Raw genomic sequence first — 14,943 nt, forward strand, 5'->3', positions numbered from 1 at the left:
TTATTTTTTTATATGATGGACACGACGCAGTACTGCAGGTACAAATGTTTATAGTTCTTTTGCAATTAAACATGATCTACTTTAAATAAGCATTCCAAAAATAAAACAAATGTGGCTCTATTGATAGGTTCAATGTTGAAAACACAGATGTCTATAGCGTAATGGTAGGTAGGTGTGTACATACACACATACATACATACATACATACATACACATAAATGACATTTAATAAAGACAACACATGTATGGAGAAACAGAAAACACAACACAATTAAATTTCGATTAGGAAAATGAATCCTCATCAATTTCCTAAGGAATTCACTGGATTATAATTTAAAGTTCAACTAAATCTTTCTTTTCTGTTTGACCACTGCTTTTTCTTCATAATCTGCTACGTCTCCCCTCTTGTTTTATATACTAAATTATGTAGTATTATCACATATAGGAGTACAATTGTTGATCAACTCTCTTTTTCTTATTCTATACTACAGGAGTTGAAAAGGAAATGTACCTGGCACATAGAAGGCCATTCAATTTAATTTTAACTTCTCTTCCTCATGTTTCAATCACACTAGTGGTGCTTAGAGGAGAGTGAACAGAACTTCTCTCATCATCCAACAGGCCTTTTCTTTTTTTAAAAAACTTTTATTTTTGTTTTAGGGGTACATGTGTAGGTTTGTTATACAGATAAATTCATGTTGCAGGGGGTTGGTGTACAGATTATGTCGTCATCCAGGTAATAAGCACAGTACCCAATAGGTAGTTTTTCAATCCTCACCCTCCTCCCCACCACCTTCAAGTAGGCCCTGGTGTCCATTGCTCCCTTCTATGTGTCCATGTGTACTCAATGTTTAGCTCCCACTTATGAGAACATGCAGTATTTGGTTTTCTGTTCCTGCATTAATTCATTTAGGATAATGTTCTCCAGCTCCATCCATGTACCCATGTTGCTACAAAGCTCATGTCTCATTCTTTTTTCCTGGCTGCATAGTATTCCATGGTGTTTATTTATCACATTTTCTTTATTCAGTCTACCAGTGATGGGGATCTAGGTTGACTTCATGTCTTTGCTATGAACAGGCCTTTTAAAGGGGATTCTCTCTTCAATGATTCAAGCTACCCAAGATGGAATAAAGTTAAGTTCTATGGCACATAAAATCTAATATGACAAATAATTTAAATAAATGCAAAATCATTTTTCTAAGTAGACAACAAATATTGAAAACACTTATGTTTCAACGAATGTTTCATGATATAAATTCTCTATTGTCATCTAAACAGAACTCTCTTTGAAATCACCATGAGACTGCTCTTTCAGAGTATACTTTCAGAGACTCTGCTATTTAACTATAATAATTCTGCATTTCTGAGCAAAAATTATTGAGGTGCTAATATGTGAAGTTTTATGAGAATTAAATCACAATTCAAAATTATGAACACATAGCATCCATAGCATATAAATTTTTATATAATTTAATTTAAATATAAACCATTTCAATCTTAGACATGGAAACTTAATAACCAAACAAATGACATTAGAGTCTTGATTAAAGGCACCATGCAAAATGGAATTTTACATTTTCTTTTTTCAAATTATTTTAATTTGGGACTCTCATTCAGTTCTTGAGAAATCACAACAAAATATCTCCATGCATATTTAGGGAAAAAAAATCTTTCATAAAAAAGGGGCTTTTCTTTCCTGCCAAAAAAATAATTTTTGTGGATTAGAGGCATGTACTGCAATTCACAAACAGCCAACTATCAAAGATTTTAACTTTGGAATGGGGTAGGGACAGGGAACCTAATAGAAGTGAACTCTATCCCCCTCTTCTTAATTAATTGCCAGGGAACAACAGTCAATGGCAAATAAATGACTGTGAAAGAGCCATTTCAATAGAAAAGATCTGGAAGTAAATACAAACTCTACAAAGATAACCTCCACCAGAAAGTTTAGTTGGTGCTGTCCCAGTAGATACTGGTTTTGATTTTCCAATTAATAAAATGTGAGGGACTGTTTTGAGAATTCATTTTTGATTGGACAACCAGCATGCAAACTCCTGTCACTCTACTTAGCACTAAAACAATAAGCTGTTTCTACAGTATTATTATATGGGTTTGCAAATAACTGCAGTGTAAAATAAAATGATCAGCAGTTTAATAAGTAAATTATATCTCTTCAATAGGTGCTGCAGGTGGTACAAGAACACAAAACATTTTTTAGGGACCAATCGAAAAAGAATTCAATACAACCTAAGTGACAAATTGAACACGACAAGTGTAATACAACTTTTATTCATTATTTTACACTCACACACACACACCAAACTACATTAAAAGAAAAATGCCTTGTGGTTTTGAATGGAATTTCAACTGTCCAGCCCCAAAGCTAAGACAGCTTGAGTCTCCAGGCTGGGTCTAAGAAGCCAGCTATCTATACAAGGTTCTGGATGCTGCTGATTCCCCTGTACAAAGAAAGTGAATATTCTTCAGAATTTAATTACCAAGTATATAAGAATCAGATAAACATTCTAGCAAAAGTGTATAATTTTATGATAGCCTCTTCTCTCTAAAAGTTCTTGTACTTTTCAAGAACTGTATTTGCTTCCTATTTTGATCTATTTATTCTTTGCAAAAGTAAACCCTGACTTGAAGAAACAACTAGGGAGTTTGGCAGTATGGTATTGGGTGAAAAAAAAAATGAATCAAAAGGCAGCATTAGTATAAATTGAGCTCTTAGGAGTCAGTCTCCACTATAACCCTTGGGCCAAATGTTGAGTTAACTGTTCCCTTCTGTACTGTACATATTCCCAGTTTCATCCACAATGGAGAGGGTGAAAAGGGCAGTAGGAATGGGGAGAGGTAGAAAAGGAGGAAATCAAAAGGTAGACAGTGCTTTGTGAGTAGCAGTTGTTTTTAAGGCAAATAGGGCAAAAAGAAAAGTGAGATAGTAACGAAAAAAATTGGGAAAGGATAGAAGAAAATGCCCAAGAGATTGGAAAAAGAGAGAGAGATATTAAAAAGAAGAAAAAACTATATTTGGAACCATTTATCACCAGTATTGAGATACATAAAGAGAGGTGGCTAGATAAATACAGTTCCTTCTTTATTAAAAAATGTTTTTTGTTTAAGGTCTCAGAACTCACAACAGTGTGATTCCATGAGATCTGGATTATTTTTTAATCTATTTTGCAGCAGAATCATAAATGCCTCAATAATTCATAAACCTTAAGTTCTAATATTTAGAAGCATTTAGTCATACGTCTAGAAATTTTTAATATGTCAACCAGATTTTTCTTCTTTACAAATATCTCTAAAATTCTATCCATCCCCACCTGCAATTCCTAATTTTTGGGCCAACATCACCTCTACTTGAATTACATTTTTCACAGACTTTATATCATTAATTTTTGTATCTTTAAAATAAAAAAAAATCACCAATAACCTTATAACTTATCATCAATTGCATCTCAATTTCAGAGGTGGAGGAAAATATTGTTCATTTTTAAATGTATGAATCTACAGCTGCAGCGAGCCATGATAACACCACCGCTCTTCAGCCTGGGTGACAGAGAGAGAGACCCGTTTCAAATAAATAAATACATAAATAAACAAACAAACTAAATAAATAAATAAAATAAAAAATGAATAAAGCCTCCCAACTGTGTGTCTGCTTCCTGTCTCATCTCCCAACTTACCCACTCCATCCTTTACTCTGCCATATAAATTACCTGCCTGTAATAGCACCTCCGAGCTAAAAGGTCACTGTGTCTTCCTTCTGCCTGCATAGGTAAAGTCTAAATTACATATTACTAGAATAGCACGCAAAGATTTTCACAAACAGAACCCAATCTGCTTTCTAGTCTCACCTTCTGCCACTCCTACATCATACCTCTATCCTGAAGACACAATGAGGATTTCTACTTTTCCTGAATACATCACAATCGTTTCAAGACTTTCTGTGTATTCTCTGAACTATTTAACTGTCTCCTTTTCCCTCCTCATCTAGGAAAATTTTACTCATACCTCATAATCTGTCTTTCATGAATCACTTTCAAAATGCAAAGTCATTCCAGGGTACACATGGGTATGGATGATTTCACAGGAATCAATTTCCAGATCCACGATTTTCAATTCTCCTCTTTCCTACAACTACCTCCTTCAGAATGCTCTTTTTGACCACTCTTCTTTCCCACCTCCACTTGCTCTTTCACAAATGATCTTCTCCAGGTTACAAATCTTACAATGATGCACTGGCCAGGGCTTAAAAACTCCTGAGCACCAAGCAACTGGAGACAACTGAGAGCTTTCCTCTAGGGGGAGAATTCTGTAAGAGCAAAGCAAGAAATGGGGAAGGCAGCAGTTTTTAGTTTATCAGGCCGCTAACTAGAGAACAGACTCCATGATTTTATCTGTAAGTCAGACTATTTATCAATGAGTCCATTTATCTTAGAATTAGGAATCAGAAATGAGATGCTAGGGAAGGAGGTATAGTTAGTTTATTTAAACTGAAAAAGGAAGTCATACTTTTTCTTACTCAAGTTAAGTCTCATTTGACTTATTGATTTGACAAATGAAGACTAGCTTTTGTAATGAGAGAATGTGGTGGGCATTTTCCAATTTGAACGAAAGTGACTATAGAAGGCTTTGATGAAAAAAATACATATAAATGCTTAAGGCAAATATATACCATAAGAAAGAAATTGTATCCTTTACAAATGCATTATAACACATATCTTGCTGCAAATACTTGATATTTGTCTGTGTCCCTCCATGGGATCATGACTAACTTATGAAACAAAATGTATGTTAGTGATTTCTTATTCATTTAAATATCTCACTTATTCTGATTGTTCAGTAAATTTCTGCTGGACTATTGGATCAGTCAGAGCTACAATTAAATCTCCTTGTTAAAAATTCCTATTAAAACACAGTAGTATTCAAACTGCTGAATAAATAAAACAAACCCTCCCAATCATAAGTATTCATTCTCATTCCTCCCTGTGAACTCCCACTGAATATTACCAGTAACTCAGCATTCTGTGCTGAAAATATTACCTAAGTACATCTCATATTTTCTATAAGATATAAGCTCCCCAAGATCAAGACCATCATCAAATTGACCTCTGTCATCACCTCAGCACCTAAACCCTACTTGACCTTTTAAAATGAATTAATAATTTAAAATAACATCAGCCTTTGCTCTTTAAAACACTGATACCTAATTTAATCTTACTGCTCTGTGTTTTGGCTCAGGATACAGAGGGTAATTCCTAAAAAGAAAAAAATTGCTGTCAGTATATGAATATGATGCCACTGACTCACCACCAAGCAGCGCAGGCATGCTGAGTTATTTTTGCCAGTAGTAATGATGAATTGTGCTGACTGAGCCATTTGGTTCCTCCTGGGACCAGAGGCACACATTTTTTTATATAGTCTGTCAGGAGTTAAAGTATAATTTTTGGCCACTGGGCAAAGTTGGAATTATTTTCTTCAAAAAAAAATTGTAGCTACTTCACACAAAGTGACAATGCTAAGAGACAAAATAAAATCAGCAAGAGTATATGCAATAGAAATAAATGCTTTATCTCTAGTTGGAAGGCCTTGAACCTGACCACCTTTAGTTCCTTCATACATGAGTCAGGTTTTGGTCTCAATACCTTATGACTGACCACATGGAAACCAAACACTTATGAGTTTAATTTTACATGCTTTCTTTTCAATTAGCTTATGGTCATACCACAGATCAGCTTTGTAGAAAAAAGGAATATCTCTTTGCATTTCCATTTCTATATAAAACCTCCTTCCTAACACTCTTGAGTTTTAAATTAGTTTCATGACCTTAAATAAAAACATACTATTATTATTTTTTGTTCTTTTATTCTGAAAATGTCAATTTTTAAAACTGATGTTTTTCCATTTTTAATGGTCTATATTCTGGTATTCTAACAACAGAAAAAGAAATTATCAGTAATAAATGAAAAACACCATACAGATTTACTAGTATTTATTAAAATAACTTCTTCATTTCTACATATTAGGCTGCTATCTACCCAAATTAATTATCTAAATATGAACTATACAAATGAGATTTTGCTTTACTTTGTTTTTTAATCTGTAACCATTTTCAAAGGAAAAGCCACCTAACTCATAGGAAAACTATAAGACACTACACCTAAAGTATAAAACAAATTAATTTCTGAAAACTTCATATTAGAAAGAATTTGAAAATGTACAGATACAAAGAATAGCTGTCTAGACACATGATTGGAAGAGTGTACTAGTAAGAAGAATTTTCAGCTTGACATTAGAGTGGCCAACCATCCTACTTTACACTTTACCTGGGACTAAGGAGAAAGTTTCCCTGGATGCAGGGCTTTTAGTGCTAAATCCACAAAAGTCCAGGGCAAATGGAACCAACTGCTCGCTCTTTGACATAGCAAGCTGAAACTTAGATCTTCAATTACTCTTTACACAACAGTGAAACTAAGTCATTAACATTTTAAAGAGAGAATAAATGCATTTAACAATTTGGTTTCTTGTAGCAGTTCAGGATAATGTTTATTTTGTTCGCATTTTTAAAGGAAAATGTAAATAAACCTTAAAATGGTTTTGATAATTCACTTCTATAAGGAATTCAGCCTATAATGTTTACTTTTCATTTTCTATTATCAAGGTAACTGGCCTCTATGTGTGATACTGAAAGTCACAAAAAAAGATAAAATGAAATAAAAATAAAACAACATGATTAAATATTTAATTCAAATGAAAACGTTTAGTCCTAATCTAGGAATTTACAGGTCTTTTTTTTTTTTTAACTTTTATTTTAGGTGCAGGGGTACATGTGCAGGTTTGTGATATAGGTAAACTCATGTCACGAAGGTTTGACATACTACACAAACTAGGGTTTGTTAATACTGTTTCATCACTCAGGTAGGAGGCGTCATACCCAATAGATATTTTTTTCTGATCTTCTCCCTCCTCTCACCATCTGTCTGCTGCTACCCTCTTTGTGTCCATGTGTTTTCATTATTTAGCTCCCAGTTACAAGTAAGAAAATGCAGTATTTGGTTTTCTGTTCCCACTTCAGTTTGCTAAAGATAATGGGCTGCAGCACAATCCATGTTCCTGCAAAGGTCATGATCTCATTCCTTTTTATGGCTGCACAGTATTCCATGGCGTATATGTACATTTTCTTTATCCAATCTGCCACTGATAAGCATTTAGGTTGATTCCATGTCTTTCCTGTTCTCAGTAGTGATACAATGAACATATATGTGTGCATATATCTTTACAGTAGAATAATATCTATTCCTTTGGGTATATACAGTAATAGGATTGCTGGGTCAAACAGTAGTCCTCTTTGAGGAACTGCCTCACTGCTTTTCACAATAGCTGAAATAATTTACACTCCCACCAACAATGTATAAGGGTTCCCTTTTCTCCACAACTTCACCAGCATCTGTCATCTTTTGACTTTTTAGTTAATAGCCATTCTGACTGGTGTGAGATGGTACCACATTGTGGTTTTGATTTGCATTTCTCTAATGATCAGTGATATTGAGCTTTTTTTCATATGCTTGTTGGCTACATGTATGTCTTCTTTAGAAAAGTGTCTGTTCATGTCCTTTCCCCACTTTTTAATGTTTTTTTTTTCTTGTAAATCGGGTCATTTTTATTAAATGCTTTAGGTTAATTAAAGTATCCATCAATTTTTATTTTTTTATCACAAAGTGGAACCAATTGCTTGGCAAATTAATAAAACTAAAAGAGACTCCAACCATTTTAACATGAGTTAAGGCAGTTCGCAGTTAATGCAGTGAGAAACTTACAGGCTCAAAGTAAAAGACGTACAAAAATAAATATTAGCATCATATAATTACCTTTTACTTAATCACAGCTTTTTTGCCCAAAAAACATTCTCTGCTGGTTCATTTTCTAACTACAAACTAATAAGAGTCTGAATATTATTCTAAAATTATTAAAGGACAGGGCTAATACAATTAGAAGAAATGTGAAGATATTTCAATAGAGTAATACATCAATAAATATTGCAAACAGGCACTCTTTACAAGTATTTCAATCATATATATATACACACTACTAGTGAGTGAATCAGATAGGTATCTTTTTAAAGATGTAAATTATTAACACATGGAAGATATTATTTGAGAGACTACTTCAAAATAAGACTTTTTAAGACAAGATATATCTGAATTTAAACTGCCCAAATTATGCACAATTTACACAATTTAAGAAACTAAACACTTTTTACAATAAGCTATATCCATCTAATTCATTTTAGGTATGGGCCTGAATTGCCTTAGGAGTAAATTTAAAGGAGAATAGCTTTTTAAGGCATCTCATTTGGGATTCAAAGAATACTACTGAGGTTGCCCACTCTTCCTGCCAACTAGTCTTCAATTTATGTCAATTCAAACTTCTGAAAGGGCTACCAGACCTATATGAGCATAAACAATATCAGAACCTAAACATACACTCACACACACACACACACACACACAGAATGGATATATAATATGTGCATTTGTATCACTGTTAGCACGGACATGAATGTAAAGCAATTTGCAATGAAAAGTGATTTCTAATTAATAATTCTCCCCTCATTAGACTATGAATTCCATGAAGAAAGATTGTTTATGTTTCTCTATAACCGTAAAAACTAAAAGGTGGCTAGGCATAAAGTAGATGCTCAGTAAACGTATTTCATTAATATAGCATATTATGGCCATTGATATCTGTCTTGTGGAATAATCATTACTTATTTGACAGTCAATCTGTCTAAAACTGAGTTACTTCATGTGTAGCTTCCCTCACTGATGTTATAGAGGATAATATATAAATTTTCAACCAAAATGAATATTAACTCATAACAGATAATATACCCTTTGCACTGTATAAGGGCCCATATGACTTTCCAATAAAATGAACAATTCTTTCTGTATTTAAATTTAAATCTTTGTTCTGCATTTAAAGGGCCTAAAAACAAAAAGCAAGTAAAAATGTCAAATTCACCATGGCTGGACTAGAAAGACCATTATATTACCACAGCTGATACAAAACACTGACTGCCAAGCTCTGAAAAAAAAAAAGAAAAGGAATAAGACAGACACCAGCCCTGTACTCATAGAATTTGTAGCTTTGTAAAGAACCTACGTAACAAATAACCAAATGAAAAAATAAAATAATCACAAATTATAGCAAATGCAATGAAGGACACAGGGTGCAAAGACAGAAAGTAAAAAGGGAAACAAACTTTAAATAGTACGATAATATTGGACTGGCTCTGCTGAGGAAGTAACATTTTGGTCAAGATCTGAAGGATGAGAAAAACATAGTCATGTGAAAAGCAGAAGAAAGCACATTCTAGGCACAGAAAACAGCAAATGCAAAGGCCTGAGGTGGGAAAGAGCTTAGCATTTAGAAGAACTGAAAGAAACCATGTAAACTTGAACAAAGTTGGTGAGGACACCATCTGTGGTTGGAGTGCTAGGCACCAAACTAAAGAATATATATTGAAGTACAATGGGAAGCCATGAAAGGATGTAGGTAGCGAACTAGTAAAATTCAACAAAATTATCTCTCTCTATGCTGTGTGGACAATGAGAGCAAGGGGCAAGAATGGGAGTAATGGCCAGTCCTTTGCCTTGATCTATTAATTAACTTTCATCATCTATAGAAGGCAGGGAAGCACTTTTTAAAGTTGTTTATTTGCCTCTGAATTGTTGAACATTTATGTTTTAAGTAATCCTTGATTTTTCCACTACCTACTCATTGTTTTAAATAAACATAATATTTTGCTAAGAAAATTTCTGGAGTAGGAATGTCCAGAAGTCTTAAGTGACACAGATTGAAGACTAGTTGGCAGGGAGAATGGGCAATTTCAACAGTATTCTTTGAATCCCAAATAAGATGCCTTAAGTCTTGGTTTTTCTGCCTACTAGTTATATGAAGACTCTAGATTTAGTATCTTCATCTGTAAAATGGCGATAATAGAGCATTTATCTCATAGAGATATTATGAAGATTAAATTACATAATCTGTGTAATGTTTTTATAATCACAGGCTAATAAGAATTAAATAAAATAATTCATATAAAGCACTTGGCAACTAGATCATTAAAATCAGATATAGTATTGTTATTTTAACTATGATTGAAATTCAGCCTGAGAAGCCTTCCTTTATTAGCTCTCTTTTTTCTATTATCTATTATTTTCTATTATTTAGAAAATACAATTTCTCCTGCAACGTCAAAGTTCAGCAGAAAATATCATAGCTGCAATTGTGATTTCTCAAATAATCAGGTCTAATGTGTATACAGTAACACTCTTCCAAGTGAGTAGGTAAATATAACATTATCGTTGTGTCCGCTGAATCATCTAAATTAGATTTATCCAGTATTCCAGGGAGTGGTGAGTTGAGTATTAATAGGCATTTCAGTTATTGAGTAGCTAAAACAATGTCCACACAAAGTAGCATGAAAAATATTATACACGATCAACTTATATTAGAGAAGGCAAACCAGTAACAAACTTGCATAAAGATTTGGTTGACTACCAGCAATATATGTATTTTTAAGTATTTTACCTATAGCTTCATAATTGCTCTTTAGCTTCTTACTCTACTGGCTTTCATAATATCATGCACTAGCATCTATTACAACCACAAGCTTGCTTTAATTCGTGTAATTTTGAACAATATATCTTCATCACTAGATGTAAACTTCTTGAACGAACAGAGCATATCTGATTTTGTTTAGCATGGTGTCCCCAGCAAAGTCTGATACTTGGGGGGCAACTGCAGCAGATGCTGTGGGGCACTGGCCAGATCCCCTAGTCAGGATTCCCCTTCAGAATCAAGGATATCCTTCCCTTGACTTTTAGGAGTATTAGCTGCTGACTACTCACAGCTGTGCCACTCAGGGTTGCACTATTTCCCTGGTAAATGCAAGACTGTAAAGACCAAACTCAAAAGCCATCCCAGCTCCAGAGCTCACCATAGGGCTGACTCACATCTCTATTCCTACCGCATCAAAGTTCAACTCCCTCTTTCCAACTCTCTTTAGGCCCACAGGTGTTGGTCCTGGGAGTGCTCTCCAATAAACCTACTGCACACAAATCTTACATTCTGTTTCTCGGCAACAACAAACGCTTGTAGAATAAATGAGTGTGATATGGCCACCAGATCCAGACAAACCTTCTTTTTAAAGAAAAATACATTTTCAAAGCATAAGACAACAGTAAAATTGATTATAAAGATGCACAAATATGCTTAAAAAGTCATATCACTATATGTCACTATATTATTTGATATTATCGAACAAAATATAATTATTATCTTAATTGATTTAATACCTTGTCCTTCACTCTGAGACCATAAATCTATTAAAAGCTGACAATAGTTCTATAGAAATCTCAAGAAGATTATTTTTAATTTAAGAAATAACAGGTTTTTTTACAATTAATATAAGAATTTAAATATAAAAAGCAGTTTATGAATTCTTTAGAATAACATTATCTTCATCATACAAAGCTGATTAAAAAAATGGAATAGATGAAAAAAAGTTTTAGCTTAAAGATCAAAAAGAAAATACTAAAAAAGGAGGTGTGGAAAAGACATTCAAGCTTATTTTCCTCCATACAAAGTACTAAAATCCCCTAGGGCCATTTGAAGTCTTAAAAGTGCATATCTTAAAGAGATGGGATTCAAAAATCATCGTTTTTCTACTTCAAGAATCAATATTTATCTCAGGCCACAAGCTAGATCTTAATCGTTTTGGTGGGAAGCGCTTCAATTCTAATGGATGTAAAAAGAGAAACCAGAATTATGTTTTCAAATAAGTCCTATCACCTACCCTTCAACTAGCCTTCTCAGAGACTTAATTCTTTCTCTGACCTAAGACGTTTTGAATGTCTTACACAATTATTGCTTTACTGGCACTTTGATGACTCATAATTATTTTTAGGATCAAAAATCTAATGTAACCATCCTCCCATTTTCCAGTACTACCAAGTATAACAAATACACACATCTATTGCTGACAATTAAATTAATTTCCTCCATCTACAAACACTGTCATTCAGAGAAAGTTTACTGAAGGGCAGGAAACAGATTGTGAGGGGCTGCTGAGCCCCACAGGCAGAACTTTAAACAAAACTTATTTTTGCCAATAGTAGTAAAGAGGCTAATATGTAACTTAGAGTGTTCTGTCTTCCCTTTTACTTTATCAAATGCAAATTTAAACATCTCACCCTTCTCAGAAGCAAATAAGTAATTTTCTTAAAAAGGCACAGTCTCACTAAATTCTGCTTTTCAACAAAATTTAAACATTTGGTTTAATCTTATTCCAAAAGCACTAAAACAGTTTGATGTCACTGTTGATTACTCCCTTTTGCTTTCTCAGTAAAGTTATCTCAAAATCGAATTGTCTAATTGAAAGCAAACAAACATGCCAACAAACAAGAAACTGAATTTTGAAATTCTGTCTACCAACAGAAGAAAGAGAATTCCAGAAGAAAACAATTCCACTTAAGTATAGGACAAGACCTAAGGACAATTAGGAAATTTAGTTATCACAATTTGGAAGCAAGAAGAATCCACACACACCCACACAAAAGCAAGTAGATGGTAAATATGAAAATAGCTAAATACAAACTCACAAGTAGACAGTAAAAATGCTAAAAATGGTCATCATTTTAATGGTTTACCTCTGCTTTCCCAACTGTTCTCCAGTCACACCCAAGATAAAATATGAAGGCATATTAAGACTGCCATGGGCCTTGTATACAAAATTGATATTCAGTAATAAAAGTTGAGAGCTCAGCACTGGCTAAAACTGCCTCATCAAAGTCATTACTCCTTTAGGTTCTCAATTACATCAGGGATTCCATAGGCATGAAAAGGCATCTCACTCTTTAGATACAACAACAGTTAAAATGTAGTGCACCAAGGGTACAGTAAAACACATTTTACTGTACACTGACATCAGGCAGATCTTAAGCAAATATAATCTAGCATCATTTGATTAAGGGGGTTTAAAATAAAAAGAGCCTACAGTGACTAGTTTTTAATTTTTTTGGTTTTTTTTTGGGGGGAGCGGGGGGGAGGTGAGGTAGATAGTTACTGGAACACAAGATCAACTGGTTTGTACATAATTTTATTGCTATAGTTCTGCACATACTTAGGTTCAGAAATACAGCAGATGAACGCATTTCTAAAAGTGAGAGTACACACAGGAACAAAACAACAGTTAAGATTGTGAGTTCTCTGAGGATCTTTTCGCCCTTTAAAATTTATATATGCAATAGAGTTCCTCCAGAGGACATCATTACACAAAACCACTCCAGTAGCAACTACTGGGAAGTACCAAATTACATAAAATTAATGGAGGCTCTTTGCAATGAATAAATTTACAACTACATGACGAGTGCCTTTCACTTTTTATTCCACTGAGTGAGCTGCTAGAGTAATCAATTCATTCAGGTATATTAGAGAAACCCATTACATGTCTGATGGGCAGTTTTGTTCCCCCCACCCTTTATTAAGATTTCTGTTTGTGTTTAAAGAAAAATAACCAGGTTGGTCTTGGAATCTACAATGTGGGAGGCTGGGAAATCAGATACGCAAACAGGAAAAAATAAAAAGAGAAAGCAGGATTTGGGTAAGACAGACACAAAAGAATAAAAAGACACATCAGAATTTAAATGTTTTCTCAATAAATCAAATACTTTCAATTTTAAAATACACAAAATTTGCTAATATTCAGAAAATCTTTCTAAAAATTTAAAAAAATAATAAGGATGGAATTACTGTGATCCAACCTTAGAAGACTCCAAGTCAACACAGATTTGCCCTACATCCAAAAGATCACATTGTAACATGCAGAGGCAACAATATGTTCCACAGGAATGTAAGCAAGATGATTTTCTTCTTCTTCTTTTCTTTTTCTATTTTTCTTTTTTATTTTTGAGACAGTCTTGCTCTGTCATCCAGGCTGCAACCTTGACCTCCCAGGCTTAAGCAATCCTCCCACCTCAGCCTCCTAAGTGGCTAGGAACAGGTGCGCACTACCACAGCTGGCTAATTTTTAATTTTTTGTAGAGACAGCGTCTCCCTATGTTGCCCAGGAAGGTCTCAAACTCCTGGACTCAAGCAATCCTCCTGCTTCAGCCTCCTAAAGTTCTGGGATTACAAGCATAAGCCAACATGCCTGGCCAAGATACATAAGAGGAGATGGTATGGTACAGTGAAAAGAGAAGTGACCTAGGCTTTCATTCTTGCAATGAGGTAAACCTTTGCACTCCTATGGAAAGGTGCTTCATCTATAAACCAGCAATATCATTTTTCCTAGCTGCTTCATAGTTTTGACAGGAAAGCCACCTAAGATAATATGTGGAAGGCCTTTGTAAATGTTAGAGCACTATAAAGATCAAAGATAACACAAATTACAGGTGATATTAATGTTGCTAACTCTAACGAAAAAAGAAAGCGCTCAACAAATATTTGTTGAATAAAAGAAAGAATATTTTAAAATAATTTCTAAACCTGAAATCAAATTATTCCAATCATTTTATTTTATATTTATATTAATGTCATATTGTAGAATATTTAGTTGTCTATAACAATAGCCAATATTAATCCAATGCTTACTATTTTCCAGGTCCTGTTTTAAAGACTAGAAATATTAACCTGACAATACCTTCCTGAGATAGAATGTATTATTAGAATCTATTTCACCTGTAAATCTTTATTTGCTTTATTTTTTTACTTCATTTAAATTACTTAAACTAAAATACAGGGCTAGATAATATACCAAAAATCACACAGTCTCAACTCAAAGCTAGAAAATCTGATTCCAGTGACCATGCTTTTAAACTAAAAATGAATTCATTAATACATGTACACTTAGTCAAATTGCTAAGTGTA

The 14,943-nt window shown here is 33.8% G+C and overlaps 1 protein-coding gene and 1 non-coding gene across 4 annotated transcripts in view; both read right to left on the reverse strand.

Moving 5' to 3' along the window:
• Window positions 1-14,943, reverse strand: part of PPP3CA (protein phosphatase 3 catalytic subunit alpha) — a 324,109-nt gene that overhangs the window by 203,516 nt on the left and 105,650 nt on the right. The gene's annotated exons all lie outside the window — the stretch shown is intronic.
• On the reverse strand, window positions 13,862-13,939 carry MIR8066 (microRNA 8066). The gene has a single exon (NR_107033.1). It is a non-coding gene; the product is annotated as a microRNA 8066 (primary transcript).

Source organism: Homo sapiens, chromosome 4 (assembly GCF_000001405.40).
Source record: "Homo sapiens chromosome 4, GRCh38.p14 Primary Assembly".
Classification (NCBI taxonomy): domain Eukaryota; kingdom Metazoa; phylum Chordata; class Mammalia; order Primates; family Hominidae; genus Homo; species Homo sapiens.